This window comes from Homo sapiens, chromosome 21, assembly GCF_000001405.40.
Source record: "Homo sapiens chromosome 21, GRCh38.p14 Primary Assembly".
Taxonomy (NCBI): domain Eukaryota; kingdom Metazoa; phylum Chordata; class Mammalia; order Primates; family Hominidae; genus Homo; species Homo sapiens.
In genome coordinates this window covers 40755384-40780703 of record NC_000021.9, presented here as the reverse complement: position 1 = coordinate 40780703, position 25320 = coordinate 40755384, and the positions used below count along the sequence as shown (strand labels likewise).

At 42.6% G+C, this 25320-nt stretch overlaps 1 protein-coding gene and 1 pseudogene across 3 annotated transcripts in view; one reads left to right on the top strand and one right to left on the bottom strand.

Moving 5' to 3' along the window:
- DSCAM (DS cell adhesion molecule) overlaps positions 1-25320 on the top strand; it is an 836160-nt gene that overhangs the window by 66455 nt on the left and 744385 nt on the right. The gene's annotated exons all lie outside the window — the stretch shown is intronic.
- Positions 18886-18960, bottom strand: LOC124905066 (uncharacterized; annotated as a pseudogene).

The following is a 25320-nucleotide window of genomic DNA, read 5'->3' as shown; positions in this document are numbered from 1 at the left end:
TGTTCCTGCATCCTCATCTCTTCTTTTTGTAAGGACACCAGTCAGATTGGAACAGGACCCACCCATATGACTTCGTTTTACCTTAAATACCCCTTTAAAGACCCTATCTCCAAACACAGTCACATTCTGAGCAACTGGGGATTAGAAATTCAACACATGAATTTTGTGGGGACACATTTCAGCCGGTAACACTCCACACACTTGACTTTTCAAGTTTCTTATAATATTTTTAGTTCATAAATAGGATAACAGGAGATATATATATATATATATATATATACACACACACACACACACACACACACGTTTATATTTGGAAATAGGTGAGGCACAAAATTATAAATGGTAAGTAAAATACTGAAACCCAAGTCACCTTTACAAAGTTTAGGTGGCCAAGAGGTTGCATGTCAGTTTCTAGAGCCTCATCATGCCAGTATGCAGGTGGGTGGTCCCTTAGCTTCTGATAGAAAGAACATGGGCTCTGGAACTTTGTTTGGAAAGAACACGTGCTTCAGCACAACTTGCATTTAAGGCCAGATTCTGCTATTTACAAGCAGTGTGACTTGTCTGGCTCTGCTTCCTTGACATTCAAATGGAGACGATGACATCTACATCTGCGATTGTTATAATTGAGAAGATGCATGTAGAAAGCCCTAGGCTCCTAACTCTGCTTGTAAAGGTGAGATTCCTACATGGTGTGAATGAGGACACACTTCTGAATTTGATCTGTACATCAGGTGTCTGTTTTTTCCTTCCCATGGATATAGCTGTATATATAAATCTTAGTTGTCTTTTTTAAAGAAAACCCAAGCTCCTTACCATCTGGTCTCTGCACACCTTCCTTACCCCACCCAGCCCTCTGCTCACTATGCAGTGGCCACATGGGCATTTTTCTATTCCTTGGTGATACCCAGGTAATTCCACTTCAGGCTCTTTACACTGCCATCCCTTTGCCAGGCCCGGCTGTCCCTCCAGGTCACTCAAGTCCTGGCTAAGGGTCCTTCACTTACTATGTATTCTGAAGTCACCTCCCATCAACTCACCTATTTTATTTTCCTCTTAACTTTTTATCATATAAAATTATTTATTGATTTGCTTTTTATACCATTTGTCTTCCTCACCTTTCCCCACTGGAATGGCAGATCCATGAGGACAGCAGCTTCGCCTCTCTTATTCCCTATTGTAAACTGGAATAGTGCCTGAATTTGATACGCATGCAATGAGTACTTTTACAAGAAAATGTTATAAATGTGTAACAGCATTGAAGGGTATAAACTTCCTTCAGATAAATTTGGCAATACATATTAAAAATTAATACTGACGTCTGAACCAAAATTTCTCTTCGTCAGAATCCATTCCATGAAATGATTGAGGAAGTTTTTAAAAAGTTTAAGTGTGTTTATCATCAGTCAGTCAGGCTATGGTAATAACATCCTAATAGCCCGTCTTGCCTCTCTCTACTCTCCTTCTTTCATACTTCAGCCCAAAATACCTTTCATTCCCATTTTTAAAAATACACCAAAATGATCAAGGTTAAAAAGTCAAAAGTCTAATATAGTAGAAAACAATAGTTAGCTATTCCATCTTTTCTGAGCCCTTCCATGGGCAGGATTATTCAAACACAAGTTTAGTCTACTCACACTCTTTTTTTTTTTTTTTTTTTTTTTTTTTCTGTTTTTGAGATGGAGTTTCGCTCTTGTTGCCCAGGCTGGAGTGCAATGGCACGATGTCAGCTCACCGCAACCTCTGCCTCCCGAATTCAAGTGATTCTCCTGCCTCAGCCTACCGAGTAGCTGGGATTACAGGCATGCACCATCATGCCTGGATAATTTTGCATTTTTAGTAGAGATGGGTTTTCTCCATTTTGGTCAGGTTGGTCTCAAACCCCCGACCTCAGATGATCCACCCTCCTTGGCCTCCCAAAGTGCTGGGATTACAGGCATGAGCCACCATGCCCGGCCCACATTCTTTATGATTTTTGATATACTGAACTTCTTTTCACACCTTACTTTTGACTTCTATTTGTCACACTTTATCATCCTTATACATCCTTCTTTCTTTGTTTAATAAGTTTTTCTTTTTTACTTTTACTGTACTTACTTAGAATGTATATATTCTATTTCCATTTATTTAGATGTTACCTTGGAAATTTACCATGTACATTTAAATTAGCAAAAGTCTGCAATTAAGCAATAACCTAAGCACCTTCTTCCATGAAAAGCAAACAAAAAACAAAAGCAGGTTTTGGAGCATTTTGATTCTGAACACTCACCTCAAAACCTACATGCTTCTGGGCCAGGCACGGTGGCTGGGTGACAGAGCAGGACTCCGTCTCAAAAACAAAGAAACAATCAAACAAAACTTACATGCTCCTGTTGTTTTCTCTACTTCTATATATTTATTTTTTTTTAACCCAGATACTAGGTATTATTTTATTATTAGCTTATTCAGATGTTATTTCTTTGGATTTGCTTACTGTTTTATAATTTCATTTGTTCATTCTTACTTGGATCCCAAACCATCTTTTTAAGGTCGTGTTCCTTTTTCTTGAAGCATATCCTTTAGAATTTTCTTTATTTCAGGTTTCTTTGTGGCATACCCTCTCAGTTTTTGTTATCTTTACCCATCCTTGTTTTATCTTTTTCATAAAAGAGTATTTGGCTGGGCACACAATTCTGTACTGACTATATATTTTCCCTTTGTACTTTGGAGGTAAAATATCATTATCTTCTAGCTTTCATTAGTGCTGTTGGAAAGTCTGAAGTCATTTAAATTGTTTCCTTTTTGTAGGCTGTTTGTCCTTGCTCTATGGCTTCATTTAAGATCTCCTCTTTGTTTTTGATGTTCTGTAATTTTGTCAAAGTGTGTTTGGACACAAATTTCTTTTTATATATTCTGATTTTATTTATCTCAGTATATTGTACTTTTGGGATTTTTAATACATATTTTCTGATAGTTCTAAAAATTGTATCTTTTTAATGATTTTCTTTTATATTCCTGAGATTCCAGTTAGTTATCTATTTAGTCTTCTCATTCTGTATTTTATTTATCTTAGTGTCTCTTTCACATTCTTCATCACAATTCTATTTTTGTCTTACAAATAGATTATCTCCTGGAATTCTTAATGATGATGATGATGATTATTTTCGTTTTCTCCCGTTTTCTGAATTGTGTTTCATCCAACGTTTGTATTTTTATATTTGTTGCCTTGGTCTTCCTCCTTCATGATGCAAGCATTCCTTGAATATCTGATGGCTGTTGATTTCCATTTATATTAAAGATTGAGCAGATAGGAAGGAAACTTATATAAGTGGGCAAGGGTTATGGAATAGTCTTTGTTGCTTTATGATGTGCTGTTGTCTGAAGGTTTTCGGCTCCCACCAAATTTATATGTTGTAACCTAATCCCCAATGTGATGGTAGTAAAAGGTGCAGTCTTTGAGAGGTGATTAGGTCATAAGTGTGGAGCTCTCATCAGTGGAATTCGAGCCCTTATAAAAGAAGCCCAAGGGAGCTCATTGGCCCCTTCCATCATCTAGGGACACAGCATGAAGGCGCCAACTATGAGCAATGAACCCTCACCAGACACTGAACCTGCCAGTGCCTTGATCTTAGACTTCTTGGCCTCCAGAACTGTGAGAAATACATGTTGTTTATAAGTCATCCAGTCTATGGTATTTTTGTGAAAGCAGTCCAGCAGACTAAGATATAGTGAGAGAGATCGGTGCTTCAGAATCTGCTGACATCTTTTGGTTGCTGACAGCTTTTCCTGTTTTCTTTGCCATAATGATTTTCCCTCTTTTCTTAGCTCATTACTCTTATTTTAAGGAAGCTTAAAGGGAATATCAATAGCTCATTCTACCATCTTGAATTAAAAGCCACATGTAATTTTTTAAGAAGAACACTCTCATTATATTAATCTCTTGCTTGAAATATGCTCCTTGCTGCCCATTGCTCATAGAACAAAGACCAGGATCCTTACGTTGGTCCCCAAGGCCCTGAACAGCCTTCTCCCCAGAGAATTTCCACCTTCACCTTAAATCATGCTCCATCTGGCTTTCTGTGCTCTTTTCTCTTCTGCTAGTCCACAATGACTCCTCCTGTCTAAGGGATGTGCACACATCATATGCTCTCTGTCTGCAGGGCCTTTCTCCTTCCTCTGGCCCTCACAACCCCTGCTCCACAACTGCAACCTCCTAATAGATCAATTTACCCTCTTGTATTATCTCAGAGCATCAGAGATCTTCTTTGTAGTACTTATCAAAGTTGTGATTTTTCTTTCATTTCTATGACTATTTGATTAAATCTGTCTCATCCGCAAATAGAAGTGGGCAGCTGATCATAATCCTGAAAGACACAGTACCTAGAACACCATAATCTTGAATGTTGAAATCCTAGAAAGTCAAAATTTGCAAAGTCTAAAATCCTGAAAATAACAACACTGAAAGATCAAATCCCCAAATTATAATTCTGGAAGAAATAATATAAAAAATTATATTAGAGGTATTTATTTATATTTTTAAAGGGGGATTTATTGGAAAAACATAAAAACATCATCGAGAAACATGATAGGCCACTTTACACAATAAAATAAGCAATAATAACATAAATATTTTTGCAAGCATAAACACTCAGGTATACTAATGATAGTCACATGAGCATAACAGTTAGGAACAGACAGCACATATTCATAAAGAAACAGGCTAAAAAGGGAAATGTATAAATTCACATCACTATGGTTGGTTATTGTGTGCACCCAGCTTTCTAACTACAGTCGTCTGAAATACCATGATGAACAACCTTAGTCTTTTGACGAGTCAATCAAAACTGCAAAGGTTCGCCACCGCATTTGCAATCGCCCAAAGAACCAAGATCTCCAGAAATTGCATCTTTCACAGATACAAATGTACAAAAAGGACATCTCTTCATTTATTGAGGAAGTTCCAATGTTTATACTTTGAGAACCAGGGATGCCGACGATGTGTCTCTCAGTCCAAGGTTGAAAACCTCAGGATCCTGGGAGCTGCTGGTGTAAGTTCCTAGAGTCCAAAGGTTGGCGAACCTAGAGTTCTGATGTCCAAGGCAGCAGAAGAAACATCTGTCCCAGCTCTCAGAGAGAGGGATCTGTGCCTCAGAATCCGTTGTAAGCTTTTGTTGCTGACAGCTTTTTCCAATTTGCCTTCTGTATTTGTTCTTTCCTGGTGCCCAGCGAATTGGATGGTGCACCTGACAACATGGAAGGCAAATCTTCCTCACTTAGTCCACCCAGATTCATACGGTAACCTCTTCTGGAAATACCCTCACAGACACACTCAAAATAATACTTTACCAGGTTTCTAGGTATTCCTTCAGTTCTTAATCAAGTTAACACCTAACATTAAGTCCACTGGTGACCACATTAAGTCACTACTGGTCAACGTGGGTAACTTGGCACCCATATTCCTCGCCTTAAACCATGCTTAATAACAAGATGGCTAGATCTGCCTAACATGATGCAACTATTTTCTGATAGTGATTTTCAAGATTTTAGATATTAGGGATTTTAGGCTTTAGGGATTTGAACTTTGAGATTTTTGGTCTTTAGGGATTTCAATCTTTCAGGATTTCAATTTTTGGGATCATGGCATTTGTGATTGTGTCTTTTGGGATTATGATACAAACCCAACAAGGGGTCAGATTGGGTTTGAAAATGAGCAAAATTATTTTGTAAAAATTATAATTATATGTTATATAATTATTACATAATAATTTTGCTCATTTTCATTCCTTAGTCTCCATGTAGTGAATGAATGCATAACTGAATGAGAGATGAATAATAGCAGTAAAGGACCTTGGATGGTTTATCTTATGCTATTTTTTGAGGATATTCAGGAGATCTTTGTTGAATCTGTTCCATGATCATGGTAAGATGTTTAAGCTGAATCTCAGACTCACCGAGATAGAAGTAAGTGATGATGAAGTAAGTGATAGAACTAAGTGATGATGAATGTGGCTTCCAGTATGAACATGACTTATTTATGTCTAATAATGTGTTCCATTTGTACAGAACTTTAGGCTTTTTAATATAGTTTCACATATTCAGATTAATTTTATCTTCATATTTTTATGAGACATTTTGTTGGTTCATTTAGATGAACTGGAATAAGACTGACTCATGTCTCTGCAGGTTATGAGACACATTTAGAAACGAAGATGCTAGGATCATCAACCACATGGCCAGGCAACAAAGAAGGAAAGGAACTGTCACTCATGTGTACCTTTCCGAAAGTGGAGCCTGGAAGGCTGTTTGAGCTCCCAGGCAGTCTGGAGCCCATGCTGTTCCATTGCTCCTTCATGTACAACCCACGGAGCTTCACCTGACCATTAACTTCACTCAGTTTGATTCCCAGCACACCAGCCTCTGTCTATGTCTCTCTCACATCACTTTCCACTATGAATTATGCTTGTTCTTCCCCTCTATCACTTCTATGCTCTTTCACTCTACATCTTTTATTAAAATCTCAGAGAGAGAGAAAAAAGATTGGTCTTAGGGCAGAACTCTCATAGTAACTAAGTCACAGGCCGCCTGTCCTGTATGATGTGGTGTGCAAAGCACTGTTGTCTTAAAGTGCTCTGGAAGCTCCCTTCTGGTTGTTGGACAGCATCTCAGCTAGCACTTCCCCTTGTTCCCAGTGGGGAAGCCTCAACCCAATTTCAGCTTCCCATGGGACCAATATCTTCCTTTTTCAGGGTAGGGGGGATGCATCTGAACCCAGCTTCTACTGTGTCTTCAAGGCTTCCGTATTCTGGGGATCTGGACTTTCCAAACAGTTGCTTCAAACAGCTGACATCTAAATTCATCCTGCCTGGTGCCCCGGTAGCTGGATTATTCCCTTACTTACAAGATTGCTCTCACACTTGCCTTGTTTAAAGGGCAGGCAGCCTAGCAGAGGGGAACTTCCCCTAGAATTCACAGCCACACTGCCTGCCCACCACAGTGTCTTGGCCCAAATGCCTTTCTATGGCATCAGAGGGAAAATCAGGGGCCTGTGCTTTCTTTTGCTTACTTACCTTGGCTTGTAGGCACTTTGCTGAAATGTGTTAGGTTGGTGTAGTGGGTTGAACAGTGTTTCCCAAACATTCGTGTTCTCCTGGTACCTCAGAATCTGACCTTATTTTGAAATAGAGTATTTGCAGATGTAATTAAGTTAGGATCTGGAGATGAGATCAGCCTGGACTTACTATAAGCCCTAAATCCAAGGACTGGTGTCCTTCTAAGAGAGAGGAGATGGAAATTTAGACATGAAGACACAGGGAGAAGAAGGCCATGTGAAGACGGAGGTAGAAATTGGAGTTGTGTGTCTACAAGCCAAAGTATGCCAAAGATTGCTGGCAGATACCAGAAGCTAAGAGAGGCATGGGAATTAACACTGCCTACATCTCAATTTTGGACCAAATTTCTATTGTTTAAAGCAACCAGACATGTGGAAGTTTGTTATGGCAGCCCTCAGAAATGTAAACAGCTGGGTTTCCTAGAAGTAGAACCTGAGAAGGGGGTTCTCGTGCGAGGGACTGATGAAGGATTGGTTGAACAAGGGTTAGGTGGGGAGCTGCGTAAGTCAGGGATGTGGTTTCAGCTGGGGACTGGCCTCTGTCTGACCTCACAGGCTGGCTCTGGCGCACAGAGCGCCCTGCAGGGATATGATCCACCTGTGGCAATAGGGCCAATGCTTTGACCCCTAGGTCAGCCAGTTACTGACTGTGGGCTGCTGGGAGTGAGCAATGCCTCCAGCAGGAGCTGCTTTTTATTTGACAGAAGACAGCTCTCCGGGACAGGGTCCACCACCGCGGCGATTATGGCAATCGTTATTTCTTAAGGCAAATCCTGTGAAGTTATGGAATTTGTTACGGGCCCTGGTCCATAATGGTGGCAGCCACGAGAGGACGTGATTTGCGTGAGTAACACCCACAAAGGGAACCACGTTGCACAGCACAGCAGATGCCCACCATTCCGGCAGTTATCTGTATTTGGGAAGGGGGAGGTTGTATGATACAGAGAGGAAGAGGGAATTTGGCTGGGGAGGCCACCAAACCAAGACAGGCAGTTGGACATGGGCAGGGCTCCTGCTGAGGGAACTAAGACAGTTCCTAAAACTGCCTGAGCTCTATGCAGAGCCACCCGCAGCAGGAGGTATAGGACACAGGTCTGACATGCCTATAACTGAGAGGAAAGAGATAGGCAATAACCATTAAATCAGGCTGGGCACAGTGGCTTATGCCTATAATCCCAGCACTTTGGGAGGCCAAGATGAGTGGATCACCTGAGGTCGGGAGTTCGAGACCAGCCTGGCCAACATGGTGAAACCCCGTCTCTATTAAAAGTGCAAAAATTAGCCAGGCACGGTGACGGGTGCCTGTAATCCCAGCTACTCAGGAAGCTGAGGCAGGAAAATCGCTTGCACCCAGGAGGTGGAGGTAGCAATGAACCAAGATCACACCATTGCACTCCAGCCTGGGGGAAAAGAGCAAATCTCCATCTCAAAAAGAAAAAAACAGAAACAAATCACTTTTTAAACCTATTACTAGCAAAACATTTAAAAACAGAAGCTAGAAGTATGTGTTGACACAATAGCACATTTTATCAGCCCTTATTATGAAAATTCTGTGTCAATTCCCGTCCACCTGACTTTGAAGTTATCAGCATGTGTAGCAAAAGTGAATATGTTTCATGGCCTCTTTCCCATGAACGTATTCACATTTTATGAAATAATAAAATTCGCATAAAGATTACATCATAAACTCCAGTCTCCATTTTCCCCTCTTCATTGTATGCGACATACGCACGTTCCCTGAAAATAAAATGTGCGTGTAAAATTAACTGGCTATTTTAGGTTGAGTTCCCAGTGTACCTATTTGGAATGCCTTTCCAAGTCAAAACAGGTTTTGAGGCTGTAACAATAGCATCACAAATAAAACAAGTTGGATTCAGAGTTTTACCTAAAGTAATTGGGAGTAAAAAAGGAATTGTTCAAGGTTCCCCACTATATCTTCATACTTCCTTTCGCTGGCTCTTGATTTACTTAGAGATGCAGTTAAGATGGAAATGAGCCATGCCCAGAGGGATGGAGAAGGCAGAGTGAGTGAGTTCCGGTGTTGCTTTTATGAACCACGCAAGTGCTCTTTGCAGAAACCTGGTCCGGAAGCCTTCCCCCGTGTAGGTGCGGAGAGGAGAAATTGCTCACAGTCTGAAGGAATAGCATGCACAAGAACACATTTTCAAGGGGTTCTGCTTTCAAAACTCCACCTTTCGGGAAAAATGTAAAAGGTGCTTTGAGATGACCTTCACTCTTGTTTATTCCCAATACTCCCTCCTCCATCCGTTTCAATCATTGCAGCTCAGAACTGCGTTATGACAGCAGCCTGAAGAGGAACCCAGGCCTGCCTTATAGGACACCCAGCCCATGGCCTGCTCAATGAAAATACCTGGTAAAATGGGCAGCATGGTTCTATGCTAATGAAAGCTCGTGCCCTTAAGTGGCTTTCTGTCCCTCATGTGGGCTGGGTGGCCTGTCTCCCACTGCGTGAAGCCTACAGCTCTTTACACTGCCCAACTCTGTTTCTTGGTTTAGTTTGACTCTGCAGCTACCCTTGGGCATGCCCTGGAGTCCGGCAGCCTGGGGGTGCTATGCCATGTCCAGGCTGCCTCGTGTTTACCATGATCCCCTTGGCTGCTTTCTTTCTTTCATTCTAAATCTCCTGGAAGTTTCCAGAAGAAAAGACTGCCAACTTCTCACCTTGGCACCCTTTCTACCTCTTCTGTTTTTGCATTTTACTTTTACTTTCAATATGCCTCTGCATCTGTTTAGTAACAACTAAAAAGTTTTCCTAGCTAGGTTATGACTATCTCAGGCTTTGAAGCTCTGTTCTTCTTACCAGCCACATGGTTAGGGCTGCCTAACTAACCTTTCTGTGCCTCAGTTTTTTTCATCTGGAAGATGGGGATCCCATAATAACATTCGCCTCCTGTAGGGTTGTTGTGACAATTAAGTGAGTTTTCACACAAATAAGGTTTAGAGCTGCACCTGGCCATTTGCAGGTGCTGAGTGTTAGCTGTAGTTTCTTTTTCTACACCCCCAACTGTTCTGAAAGACGGTAAGGGCTGTGAGCCCTGACTTGGCCGTTATCAGCAATTTTGACAATATTGCATTCTTTTTCCATGGAAAAAACTCGAATAACTCTTACAGATGAGTTTCAAAGTCAATACAAGATCATCACTGTATTCTACAGTTCCAGACTTGGGTGCAGTATTGGTGCCTAAGCTGGCCAATTTCCTAGCCATTGGAGGTGTGAGTCTCACGGCACTACTTTAATACTTTGATGCTGAGATGCCAATAGAGAAAGAAAATATTGAAAAGTTGAGAAACTGATTCTGAATTTGGTTTTTATATTTTGATAAAAATGAAGAGAAACTAAAAGAATTTAAGGAGACCAGTCTTTTAAGAAATGTTCAAGTCTACTTTTTGTTTTGTCTAGGGAAGAAATGAAGACCAGTTATACAGCAACTCCCTTTTGTTTTTAGGAAGATAATTGGATATAATTTTGAGAATGTTCCTTGGTTTAACCTCGGGGAAGAGTTCAGTGTTATTGTTAAAGAAAAAAAAATGACCTTTGATAAGGCAGTAAGGCAGACTTTATTCAGAGCCATAGAGACCCTGCAATTGCATTTTGAAGTGGGCGAGAGAGATTGGGCACAATTCCAAATACAAAAAACAAATGGGAGTTTATAGCCAGGTAGTGAGGTGGGGATCAGTGGATGGAATATTATTTACAGGAGACATCAAGGGTAAGGGGCATTCTGGCTACATCACCTGAACATGACTCTTGCTGAACACAGACCAGGGTGATCAGACAACCACCTGGGGGTTGGTGAAGGAGAAACCTGATCAGATAGTTAGGGTGATCAGATACCCAGGATAGCCAAACTAAGCAGGATTCTTGCTAAAACTGGAGAAGGCAGAGACAAGAAAAAATGCTCCAAAGTCAGGGCTTAGTTGAGAAGAGCTTAGAGAGGGGCCTGCCTAAAGTCTGGTCAGGGAAAGAGTCTGTCGTGATACACAGTTAAGCACAAGACTCTTGGCAGATGCTATGAGATCCACCTCTCCAGGGATGGTTGAAGGAGGCTGGCTTGGATTTGGGACTCTCTGAAAGGGCTCTCACTGTGAAGACAGCAGGATGCTGACAATACCCACCTGTGTCCACCACAGCATGCAGGCCTCATCTACTTCTCCACCCACCTGTGTCTGCCACAGCATGCAGGCCTCATCTCCTTCTCCCCATGGGTGCAGCACAGCTGGCCAGCTTTGAGGTTGGGGTCATCTGTGGGTCTCTGACCAGAGCTCCCACATTCCCTAAATGGAAAATGAAACCTGAGAATTTTCTGTGCTGCACCATCTTTGCTAGAATACTTGGCTCAGGACCAACTATCAAGAATATGAGAGAACAAGTAGTGTATCACAGAGATGTAAGTGTCAATCCTTGTTCTGGAATGTTCCCTGCAGTGGGGATTCAGCACAGATCATGGCCACTTATAGCCTTGGGAAGTGAGAGCAGAGGGTTGGGGAAGGGCCCCCATGAGCCTTTCAGGTCTAGACTCTAGTGGATTAATAGGAGCAGACATCCCCAGCTGCCCTCTAGAGATAGTTCTAATATTTTAGTCACCATACTACTTCACCCTGACATCAAAGGACGTCTTCAATATGCATCTCTTTGATAATCTCCCCTCTTGGGTGAATTTCAGCCTGTCTCAATTGGGCCTCCACCTTCCTTTTCAAAGAAAATGCCTTGTTTTTTCCTCTTGTTCTATAAGATCTTCCATACCCCTATGCTATATCCGAGGTCTGGTGCTCAACTTCTGTTCTCAGTAACTACTGGCTTTTGTTTCTAACTTTCACTACAATTACAATCAACGCAAGCTTTGGGAAGCCTGCTTTTACCTTGAAGCACTTCCACATCAGGAGGTCTGAGTGCAGAGGTGCTCCTTACAACAGATGGATTGCTGCACTTACCGGGGAAAGGCCATCCTGTGATGTTCACCAAAACTAACAAACACCTGGAAATGGGAATTGTGTTTAATGAAAATAAACTGAAGCTGGCTTCGTTCATTATACCCAAAATATTAGCCATCTCTAATCTTTTCCTCACAGGTTATGCCCTGCAGGAATTACTGGGAGGGATAGAGAAGAATGCTTTCGGTTAGTGAAAGACAAGCTGTAATTGTTGGGAGCACTGGATGAGAAAATGCACATAAAATCACTTGGAAACTTGGATTAGCATGCAGGACAGATAGGTTCTGAAGCTCTTCCCAGAATTATCACACTGCAGCCCCTCAGGGTGGGGGTGGGGGGAGGGGTGTCACCGTAAGGTAATGAGGCAGGTGGGAAGGCCACCTGTCTTGGCTCAGAGCCACTGGGGTGCCATCTGGGTGCAATTCAGGCAGGGGGTGACTGGCCACCTGTCCTGGCTCAGAGCCACTGGGGTGCAATCTGGGTGCAGTTCAGGCAGGGGTGACCATGTTTTCTTTAATGAAGTTATAGCCTATGCTATGTGAAATACCTGGATGATTCCCTAAAATCGACTTTAACAGTGTTTGCCTATATTAGTCAACTTTAGAGTGTTTTATAAGTAGTTTTCCACTTAATCACATTCATTATTCTTGATTTTTTTTCTTTTTGTCCCTGTCACTGAACATTTGCATATGTAGACAAAATAAAATGCTGTATATCTCATAGTGAAACCATGTAACATGCACACACGCACACACACACAGGGAGAGAGAGAAAGAGAGAAAATGGTGAGCCATGTATCAATGATCATAACTGACTAAACTGGCAATGTTAAACTACTGCGGGTTCTACCTCTCAAAGATCCTGAATGTCACAGGTGGCACCATCCGTAGAAATGGTAATTCATCCCGTCAATTAGCTGTGATGCTCAGGACCAAATGTTAGCAAGGCTGGGATTAATAGCAAGTGATCATTTGCATCTGGCATTCAATTGGGAGCTGCCATGAGATGCTCCCACCCTGGGGTCTCTGTTCTAAATATACGACAGGCTGATACTTTGCAGGAAGGTTCATTCTCAAACATAAATAGCACACATGGTCTTTGCATTTTGCCTCCCATCCTAGCTGGAGAAGCTTATTTTGTATGTCATCCTAAAGGTCAACTTTCTCACGCTAAAAAAGAAAATGGGCATCAGGCGAAGGTGCAGGGAGCGCAGAGAATGCTCAGTGCAGCAGCTGGTGGTTGTCCTGTACCTGCTTCGTGCTTGTCTGTGTGTTTTGCCCAAAGTGATGTGGGCCCGAAGTTACTGCCAGGATCTGTCTGTGCCCTAGTTTTGCCCAATTCTCACGTCACCAATTCTACGACCCTTATTTCAGATTGAAATTTTTTCATGTGAGACCCACTACCTGAAGAAGGCAACCCTGCTTACTTACTCTAGTAGGAAAAGGAATGCTGGTTTTCTCAGAGTGAAACTATTTAAAATCTTACCCCTTATTTTTCCAAACACACCCCTCCCACAGTGCTCCTAACATGTTTTAGTTGACAATTAAACGTCTTTGTGAATTAGTTTTTTTGTTCCCTGTTCCACATTTCCCCTACCCATAAGGCTTACGTATTTCCTGTAAAGCAAGTACCCTTCTTTTAAAACAAAGAACCATGAAATTAAGAAAGGTTTTTTGGCTGGACACGGTGGCTCATGCCTGTAATCCCACCACTTTGGGAGGCCAAGGCGGGTGGATCACCTGAGGTCAGGAGTTCGAGATCAGCCTGGCCAACATGGTGAAACCCCGTCTTTACTAAAAATATAAAAATTAGGCATGGTGGCATGCACCTGTAATTCCAGCTACTTGGGAAGCTGAGGCAGGAGAATCACTTGAACCTGGGAGGCGGAGGTTGCAGTGAGCTGAGATTGCACCACTGCACTCCAGACTGAACAACAGAAAGAGACCCTGCCTCAAAAAAAAAAAAAAAGTTGTTTTTTTTTTTTTTTTTTTGGAATTGTTGTTTTGTCTTTTTAAAAACATTAGTGATGGTGACCAAAACTTGGAACTTGGAAGCTGTCAGTTGGGTGAGGCTTTCCAGGCTGTGTTTTCTCCATCTGATGCTCTTCTAGCAAGCATTTTCTTTCAGTAAAACTCCCAGGGGAAAAGAATGTGAAATAACTACTTTGTAAATGATACCAAGCCTCAATGTTAATGTTCAGTATTGATATTGAATGTCTCTCAGCATTTTAGTTAGTTATGTGTCATCTTCCCTTAGGTTTAAGAATGTCATATATCAGCTATCCTGTTAAGGATATGTATTTAATCCTTTGAAAATATATATATATATACACACATACCAAATACATATAAAATTGAAAGGCTCTGTTTTATATTTTTATGTATGGGGAAAATGGGGAGAATTTCAACTTACTTTGTAATCGGGTCCTAACAGTTCATGATTTTTAATAAGTAGCAATCTTACCAGCAGTGCTTTCCCACCGTAGATTTAATTAGTCTTTCTTCCCCCACCCCCAACCCCTTTTGCTAGTTGACGGAGCTGAGAGGAGGGAAACGGCCGCAATTTGAAACCTTGTTAGAAATTTATGAAGTGCTAAAATGTTTTATTCCCAGAGGCTGGCTTGCCAGCTGTCACGAGCTCCCTGCCTGCCTCCGCGGCTGTGATAGCAGGGGTAAGAGGGAGGCTGCCAGAGCTGCACAGGGTGGGGAAATGCCATTCCCATCAGCAGCACAGGGCGGAGGTCAGCTCCTCGTTCTCCTGCAGCTGACCAGCCACATGTGAGATGAGAATTCAGGGGATCTGGAGCGGGCATCGGAGCCCTAGAGTAAGACCCTTTGCGGCTGTTGATAACAGGCACTGATCGCTGATCATGCAATGAGACGTCAGCTTTGGTTATAGAAATTAAACAACCATTCTGTTGGTGGCCTCAAACAGATAATTGGCCTCTTACTAGCAAAATGTCCCTGAACTAATTTTTTCTGGAGGAAACACCTTCTCACAAATGTTACCAGGTGTGAAGGATGTTCTTCCCGGGGTCATAGCCTACCTGCAATGACTCTCTGTGTCCCCATCCCTCCCCCATTGCTTCTATGATGCCTGGAATGTGTCTCTCAGGAAACAAAGTTTAAAAAAATTTTTTTTCTTTGGTCCTTGAATGGAAATATCACTTGCACACTGTGGTCATAGATACCCCAGAGAATAAACAATTCATAATAAAGGTGCAAATCACCCACGTTAGATGCTGAGCTGGAGGAAGTGCTAAGTCTGACATGATGGAGACCAAAAGGCCCCACGGAAGCAGAGGAGGAGGAGGAAGTGCCTCCTCCAGGGCCAGGGGCTGGGCCAGGCAGTGCCTTCATGATTTGCCTCCAAGTTGCTCTGCGCAAGGAATTGGGCATGGAAGAAGGAGCCAGAGACCTCAGAAATCTTCATGGCAATGACATTGGTTAGGAAAGTATGCCCTCAGCACCCTCTCCTACTTCCTCTGCCTCTCCAAACCAACAATTATAGTAAGTACTTTTGGTTCCACAGAACTTTCTGACAAGTTCTTTTTTTTTTTTTCTGTGATACATGTGCAGAATGTGCAGGTTTGTTACATAGGTACACATGTGCCATGGTGGTTTGCTGCACCTATCAACCCATCTCGGTTTTAAGCCCTGCATGCATTGGGCATTTTTCCTAATGCTCTCCCTCTCCTTGCCCTCCACCCCCTGACAGGCCCCGGTGTGTGATGTTCCCCTCTCTGTGCCCCTGTGTTCTCATTGTTCAACTCCCACTTGTGAGTGAGAACATGTGGTGTTTGGTTTTCTGTTCCTGTGTTAGTTTGCTGAGGATGATGGTTTCCAGCTTCATCCATGACCTTGCAAAGGACATGAACTCATTCATTTTTATGGCTGCATAGTATTCCATGGTGTATATGTGCCATATTTTCTTTATCCAGTCTATCATTGATGGGTATTTGGGTTGGTTCCAAGTCTTTGCTATTGTAAATAATGCAGCAATAAACATACATGTGCATGTGTCTTTATAGTAGAATGATTTCTAATCCTTTGGGTATATACCCAGTAATGGGATTGCTGGGTCAAATGGTGTTTCTGGTTCTAGATCCTTGAGGAATCGCCACACTGTCTTCCATAATGGTTGAACTAATTTACACTCCCACCAACAGTGTGAAAGTGTTCCTATTTCTCTGCATCCTCACCAGCGTCTGTTGTTTCCAGACTTCTTAATGATCACCATTCTAACTGGCTTGAGATGGTATCTCATTGTGATTTTGATTTGCATTTCTCTAATGACCAGTGATGATGAGCTTTTTTTCATTTTTTTTTTTTTTTGGCGGCATAAATATCTTCTTTTGAGAAGTGTCTGCTAATATACTTGACCCACTTTTTGATGGAGTTGTTTGTTTTTTTCTTGTAAATTTGTTTAAGTTCCCTGTAGATCCTGGATATTAGCCCTTTGTCGGATGGGTAGATTGCAAAAAATTTCTCCCATTCTGTAGGTTGCCTGTTCACTCTGATAATAGTTTCTTTTGCTGAGCTGAAGCTCTTTAGTTAATTAGATTCCATTTGTCAATTTTGGCTTTTGTTGCCATTGCTTTTGGTGTTTTACTCATGAAGTCTTTGCCCATGCCAATGTCCTGAATGATATTGCCTAGGTTTTCTTTTAGGGTTTTTATGGTTTTAGGTTTTACATGTAAGTCTTTAATCCATCTTGAGTTAATTTTTATATAAGGTTTAAGGAAGGAGTCCAGTTTCAGTTTTCTGCATATGGCTAGCCAGTTTTCCCAGCACCATTTATTAAATAGGGAATCCTTTCCCCATTGCTTGTTCTTGTCACGTTTTCCAAAGATCAGATGGTTGTAGATGTGTGCTGTTATTTCTGAGGCCTCTGTTCTGTTCCATTGGTCTATATATCTGTTTTGATACCAGAACCATGCTGTTTTGGTTATGGTAGACTTGTAGTATATTTTGAAGGCAGGTAGCATGATGCCTCCAGCTTTGTTCTTTTTGTTTAGAGTTGTCTTGGCTACACAGGCTCTTTTTTGATTCCGTATGAAATTTAAAGTAGTTTTCTCTAGTTCTGTGAAGAAAGTCAATGTTAGCTTGATGAGAATAGCATTTAATCTATAAATTATTTTGGGCAGTATTGCCATTTTCATAATATTGATTCTTCCTATCCATGAGCATGGAATGTTTTTCCATTTGTTTGTGTCCCCTCTTTTTTCTTTGAGCAGTGGTTTGTAGTTCTCCTTGAAGAGGTCTTATCGCATCCCTTGTAAGTTGTAATTCCAGGTATTTTATTCTCTTTGTAGCAATTGTGAATGGGAGTTCACTCATGATTTAGTTCTCTGCTTGTCTATTATTGGTGTATAGGAGTGCTTGTGATTTTTACACATTGATTTTGTATCCTGAGACTTTGTTGAAGTTGTTTATCAGCTTAAGGAGTTTTAGGGCTGAGATGATGGGGTTTTCTAAATATACAATCATGTCGTCTGCACACAGAGACAATCTGACTTCCTCTCTTCCTATTTGAATGCCCTTTATTTATTTCTCTTGCTTGATTGCTCTGGCCAGAACTTCCAATGCTATGTTGAATAGCAGTGGTGAGAGAGGGCATCCTTGTCTTGTGCCAGTTTTCAAAGGGAACGCTTCCAGCTTTTGCCCATTCAGTATGATATTGGCTATGGGTTTGTCATAAACAGCTCTTATTATTTTGAGATATGTTCCATCAAGACCTAGTTTATTGAGAGTTTTTAGCATGAAGGTGTTTTGAATTTTATCAGTCCTTTTCTGCATCTGTTGAGATAATCATGTATTTTTTGTCATTGGTTCTGTTTATTGATTTGTGTATGTTGAATCTGCCTTGCATCCCAGGGATGAAGCTGACTTGATCATGGTGGATAAGCTTTTTGATGTGCTGCTGGATTCGGTTTGCCAGTATTTTACTGAGGATTTTTGCATCGATGTTCATCAGGGATATCGGCCTGAAATTTTCTTTTCTTGTTGTGTCTCTGCCAGGTTTTGGAATCAGGATGATGCTGGCCTCATAAAATGAGTTAGGGAGGAGTCCCTTTTTTTCTATTGTTTGAAATAATTTCAGAAGGAACAGTATCAGCTCCTCTTTGTACCTCTGGTAGAATTTGGCTGTGAATCCGTCTGGTCCTGGGCTTTTTTGGTTGGTAGACTATTGATTTACTGCCTCAATTTCAGAACTTGTTATTGGTCTATTCAGGGATTCATCTTCTTCCTTGTTTAGTCTTGGGAGGGTGTATGTGTCCAGGAATTTGTCCATTTCTTCTAGACTTTCTAGTTTATGTGTGTAGAGGTGTTTATAGTATTCTCTTATGGTAGTTTGTATTTCTGTGGGATCAGTGGTGATATCCCCTTTATCATTTTTTTATTGTGTCTATTTGATTCTCCTCTCTTTTCTTCTTTATTAGTCTATCTAGTGGTCTATCTATTTTGTTAATCTTTTCAAAAAACCAGCTCCTGGATTCATTAATTTTTTGAAGGTGTTTTCATGTGTCTAACTCCTTCAGTTCTGCTCTGATCTTAGTTATTTCTTGTCTTCTGCTAGGTTTTGAATTCGTTTGCTCTTGCTTCTCTAGTTTCTTTAACTGTGATGTTAGGGTGTTGATTTTACTTCTTTCCCACTTTCTGATGTAGGCATTTAGTGCTATACATTTCCCTGTAAACACTGCCTTAGCTGTGTTCCAGATATTCTGGTACACTGTATCTTTGTTCTCATGGGTTTCAAAGAACTTGGTTATTTCTGCCTTAATTTTGTTATTTACCCAGTAGTCATTCAGGAGCAGGTTGTTCAGTTTGCATGTAGTTGTGCGGTTTTGATGCTCTACATGTTTAGAGAAACTTCTCTAGTAATGAACTATAGAAATGATCCCTGAAAGTACTCTTCTGATAAGTTCTTTTTTAAAAAAGTAAACGTACCAGGGCACTCTCTAATTGGGATCGTTTCTCTCTGTATTAGTTTGTTAGGGCTGTTAAGAAAGCATCACAAACTGAGAGGCTTGAACAAGAGAAGTTTGCTCTGTCTTGCAGTTCTGTAGGCTCCAAGTCCAAGATGAAGGTGTCAACAGGGTTGTTTTTTTTCTGAGAGCTGTGAGGGAAAGATCTGTTCCAGTCCTCTCTCCTTAGCTGGTGGATGTCTGTATTCATGATCACATGATGTTCTCCCTGTAGTACACATCTGTGTTCAAATATAAGATGAGAGATGGAGGGGTGGAGGAGAGAAAAAAAGAGGGAGGGCGGGAGGGAGAGAGAGAGAGATGCTATGTTGTTGGCTTTGAAAATAGAGGGGGGGCCATGAGCCAGGAAATACATGTAGATTCTAGAAGCTAGAAAAGATAAGGAAACAGACTCTCTCCTAAAAACATTTGATAACAGGTACCGAGCTGGGAGACTTGGAGCAGATAAGAGCTGTACTTAGATTTAGCAAAACTGCATCTTCGTGATGAGCCAGACTCAAGGATGATAAAGTCCACTACTTGGAAGGATCATGGATGCAGCCTTGGGTTTAACTTGAAGTCATTCACTGAGTTCAGATACCAGACTGACTCTTTCCATAAGGAATTGCCTGGTTAGGTGAGGGTAGAAATTCAACAATGACTGTTGCATTCCAGAAGAAGGAAGGCAAAGAGCCAAACTCCAAGTTGTGCTTTGGGAATGTTGTGATTATAAGTAAGTGCATCAGCTCCAGGCTCCCCAGTGTCACATGCACACACTATGGGGACTGATCGTGTTGATTCTCAGTGAGGTGTCTTGGGGACCCTGTCCCAGCTGGGAAGGTAGGGATGTATTAGAAGGCTTGGTGCCAGGTGCAGAAAGGGGAAGATTCTGGAGGCCAGGCACAGTCCATGAGCTGTAGCCAGAGATATGGCATGAGAATAACATCTAACTTCCCAGAAAAACAGCACAGCCAAGCCAGGCATCAGTCAAGGATCACAGGAGGAGAGATTTGCAGGAAAGCAAGGTTCCTCTACCTGGGTGGCAAAATGCCACAGCTGCTGAGGCTTCCTTGACTCTTGCCTGCTTGAAACTGGCAAAGCAGTGACTGCTGGTGGCTATGAATGCTTGTTAAATGGCCCATTCTTACTCCCTGACTGGCCTGTGCCCAGGACCTCTGCAGTTGGATAGAAAGACAGTGTCTCTAGGGTAAGGCAGGTCAGAATCAAACACAAATTCCACTCAGTATGACCTGTGGCTCCTGTGCAAGCTAACGTCACCCTCTCAGCCTCAGTTTCATGATGTAAAAAACAGGAGGAATTCTGAAATATTTGAAGCAGCTGTGAAGCAAGGGCCAATTGAATCAATAAATGTGAATGTGGCTGGGCGTAGTGGCTCCTGCCTTTAATCCCAGCACTTTGGGAGGCCATGGTGGGCAGATCATGAGGTCAAGAGATTGAGACAATCCTGGCCAACGTGGTGAAACCCCGTCTCTCTCTACTAAAAACAATAAAAATGAAAAAAAATTTCAAAAATTAGCTGGGTGTGGTGGCATGCACCTGTAGTCCCAGCTACTCGGGAGGCTGAGGCTGAAGAGTTGCTTGAACCTGGGGGGTGGAGGTTGCAGTGAGCCAAGATCCTGCCACTGCATTCCAGCCTGGTTGCAGAGCAAGACTCTGTCTCATAAATAAATAAATAAATAAATAAATAAATAAATAAATAAATAAATAAATAAATGTAAACGTATCCAATACAGCTCCTGATTCTTCATGGAGGCAAAAAGATGAATGCCCCTCTCGTCACCTCCCCCTTTTGATGTGTGGAGGGCGATGGCTGCATTTTCATCTGGGACAGTGATGGAGATAGAAGGCGGCAGTGAGGAAGGAAAAGGAGGGAAGCAAAGACTGGCACCCCAGGCTGTGCAATGACTGCTGCCAGGGGCAGGCTCATGGGATGATGGCAGGAGGGATGGGGAGCTGGCTTTGAAGTCCTGGACTGAAGCCAGAATGGTTCTCATGCTCCCGTAGCAAGTGCTCCGAGGCCAGCCCCAGCAATCAACCCAACTGAGGGCAGCACAGAAGAGTCTGGACAGCCCACTCCCCGCCGTATTGATGTGCATAATTAGCCTGCAGGTGCACCTTGACTGGGGGACAGAGAGATAGGCAGGCCAGCTGGCAGGCTGCCCCCAGGGATATGGGTATTTATCCATGATCAGAAGGGCACAAGCGAGTCACGTGCACTTTAAAGATCATTCAGTTGGTTTTTTTATTCAGGCTTAAAAAGATGTAATCCAGCCTGAAAAGATTCCAGGGGCAATGAGGAATTCAAAGCAGAGCCGGCTATTAGGTGACCATGATGCTTGGAGAATGTGGGGGCAAGGAGGAGTCCTGATGCATGGGGTCATGGAGAGTGGTGGGAGTGAGATGGGCACTCAGGATAGGCTTGGAGCACGTGGGAGGCTGAGAGCCTGGGGACTGTGGAATCCAACCTGGAATCCTCTTGGATGGACTGGGAGACTCAATGCCAAGAGATGAGACAGGATGGGACTAAGAGCAAAGGCCCCAGGCTGGGAGGAGCTATGTGTCCCTTCTCTCTACCCTTCTCTCCCTCTCCTTTTTGTGCCTCCTCACTACCCCATTTCACACCCCTTCCAGGCAGCCTTGTGCAGTCCGGATCCCTGTACTCTAAGGATTGTCACAAGCATACTTGCGTTCTTTATTTATGATGATCTATTAACAAGAATAAATGGTTGTGGGTCAGATAAAGGGCTAAAAATCAAAAGTCATCCTTAACATCTTTAAGATGCTACTATGTATCATCTGTCAGGGCATGAGGGTCTTCATCAGGCCCACTAAAGAATCCCATTTCTCTTGAACCAAGTGTGTCATGACTGGGAGGAAGACAAGACCATTTGGGGTGTGAAGTTTTGGGCTAGAGGCCCTTTTAGGAGCCAGGTTAGCCCCCAGCTTCCCCAAGAAACCAAGCTGCCCCCCTCATCCTCGCCTAAGCAAGCAGCTGATGACAAAACCGGAGTTGGCCTGAGGGGTTCAAAGGAAAACCATAAATAGACCCCCCAAAATAAGAAAATCATGTAACTAAATTCTTTCCACTTTATGCCAGCAGTCACCACACCTCCTGTCCTCTGTATCTCAGTTTTAGGTCTTTTTTTTTTTTTTTTTGAGACAGAGTCTTGCTCTGTCGCCCAGGCTGGAGTGCAGTGGCACCACCTCGGCTCACTGCAAGCTCCGTCTCCCGGGTTCACGCCATTCTCCTGCCTCAGCCTCCCAAGTAGCTGGGACTACAGGCGCCTGCCACAGTTTTAGGTCTTTATTCTGTGTTCCTCTTTATTTTTTTCCCAGTCCCTTTTTCTGCATCTCTCAGAATATACACTAATGTCCTAGGACAGCCGTAACAAAGTGCCACACATTGGGTGGCCTAAAACAGGAGGAATTTATTTTGCCATAGTTCTAGAGGCCAGAAGTCTAAAGTCAAGGTGTGAGCACGGTGGTCTCCCTCTGAAGCTCCTGGTGGGAGTCTGCTTCGCCTCTCTCTGTGGCTGCTGGTGGCTGCCTTCTCAGTCCCTGTTGTCATATCTATCATACCGTGTTCTCCCTGTGGGTCTGTGTCTGCCTCTCTGGGTCTTTGTCCAGATTTTCCTCTTCTTATAAGAAAACCAGTCATTGAATTAGAGATCATTGTAATCCAGTATGACCTCATCTTAATTTGATGACATCTACAAAGTTCTTATTTCCAAATAAGGTCACATCCACGGGTACTGGGTGTTAGGACTTGAACTTACCTTTTAGGGGGACACGATTCTGTCCACTGTGATGGATATACGTGTATTCCCCCACATGAAACAGTACTCCACACATAGGGAGGATTCAATCGAGACTTGATGCCAAAACTTAGTGGCCCAAAGTGGCAAACATTTATGATTTCTCATGATTCTGTGGGGGCAGCTGTGCAGCTCTTCTAGTAAGGAGAGGCACTCTCTTGATTCTCTTAAGTGTCTGGGCTTCAAATCGGATGGCAGGCACAACTGGGCCTCAGCACATGCTCTTTACCCTCTGGTGGACTAGCCTAGCCTAGTACTCGGGTGGTGGACCCATGTCCCAGGAAGCCACAATGCTCATGCCCTTCCCAACTGCTTGCATCACATCTGGCAATATTCCTGTGACTAAAGCAAGTTGCATGGCCAACTCCAGATTGAAGGAGTAGAGAAGTCAGGGGAGCAGCCAAGTCACGTTGCACAGGACATGCATGAGGAATGAGAGAATTTGTTGCAGCCATTTTTTGCAAATAGTCTACCATAGAAGCTGAGTGACATGACCTTTTATATATGTGGAAGAGTAACAATATATACACATGGGCTGGGCACGATGGCTTACGCCTGTAATCCCAGCACTTTGGGAGGCCGAGACGGGTGGATCACGAGGTCAGGAGATCGAGACCATCTTGGCTAACATGGTGAAACCCCGTCTCTACTAAAAATACAAAAAAAATTAGCCGGGCTTGGTGGTGGGCACCTGTAGTCCCAGCTACTTGGGAGGCTAAGCAGGAGAATGGTGTGAACCCCGGAGGTGGAGCTTGCAGTGAGCCGAGATCATGCCACTGCACTCCAGCCTGGGCAACAGAGCAAGACTCCATCTCAAAAAAATAAAATAAAAATAAAAATAAAATACACACACATACACACACACACACACACACACACACGACCATTTGTTGGGCAATCTTTCTTACAGGCTGAATTGTAAATATTCCAGAGATAAATCGCACAGACTTGGGAGTTATATCGTCTGGCTTGCAATACTACCTCTAAGATGTGCAAACTGTATGGCCTTTGACCAACCTTTCTGTGCCTCAGCTTCCTCATTTATAAAACAAGAATAATAATACCTCCCTCCTATGGCTGTGAGTTGTAGGATAAAAGAAGTTAAAATATGAAGTGTTTAGTACAGTGTATTTGTCTATTCTTGCATTGCCATAAAGAAATGCCTGGGCTGCGCGTGGTGGCTCATGCCTGTAATCCCAGCACTTTGGGAGGCCGAGATGGGTGGATCACTTGAGGTCAGAAACTCAAGACCAGCCTGACCAACATGATGAAACCCCATCTGTGCTAAAAATACAAAAATTAGCTGGGCATTGTGGCAGGAGCCTGTAATCCCAGCTACTTGGGAGGCTGAGGCAGGACAATCACTTGAACCTGGGAGGCAGAGATTGCAATGAACCGAGATCATGCCAATGCACTCCAGCTAGGGTGACAGAGCAAAACTCTAACTCAAACAAAAAAAAAGAGACTGAGTAATTTATAAAGAAAAGAGGTTTAATTGGCTCACTGTTCTGTAGGCTGTACAAGAAGCATAATACTGGCATCTGCTCAGCTTCTGGGGAGGCTGCAGGAAGCTTAGAATCATGGCAGAAGGCAAAGAGGGAGCAGGCAGCTCCTATGGCCAGAGCGGGAGGAAGAGAGGGGGGAGGTGCCACAAACTTTCAAATAACCAGATCTCACAAGAACTCACTCATTATCGTGACAGTACCAGGAGGATGGCACTAAACCATTCATGAGAAATCCACCCCCATGATTCAGTCACCTCCCACCAGACCCCACCTTCAACATTGGAAATGACATTTCAACATAAGTTTTTGGCAGGGCCACATATCCAAACCGTATCATACAGTGACATGCATAAAGCAATTACTAAATAAGTGCTATCTGTTTTAATTTAATTCCCAACTTCTTGCATCAGATCTGCCAATATTCCTGTAACTAAAGCCAGTTGCATGGCGAACACCAGATTCTAGGAGTAGAGAAGTCAGGGGAGCAGCAAAGTCACATTGCAAAGGACATGCATGAAGGATGACAGAATTTATTGCAGCCATTTTTTGCAAATAGTCTGCCATAGAAGCTATATGAATATCTCATTTCAAGATGTATGAGCATCTCATTTTGCTCTTAAATTCACATCAGTAAACTTTGGAATCCCCTACACAACTCGCCTATACCTTGGGGGGCCAGGGTGCTACCTCAGTCCTGCTCTCTGCCTTATCTTTTTATTGCAGCATTTTCACTCTGCTGTGGCCTCTCAGGGTAGGGGAGACCTTCCCTTTCCTTTTCTCCACTCCTACCAATCCAGAGTTTCTATCATCTAAACCATACCCACCCTCAAATCTAAGATTCCTCTCAAGAATCCAGGCAACATCTTTTTAAAAACTTTTTTATTTTTTATTTATTTTTTAGCAGGTGGGGACAGAGCCTTTTTATGTCACCCAGGCTGAAATGCAATGACATGATCTCAGCTCACTGCA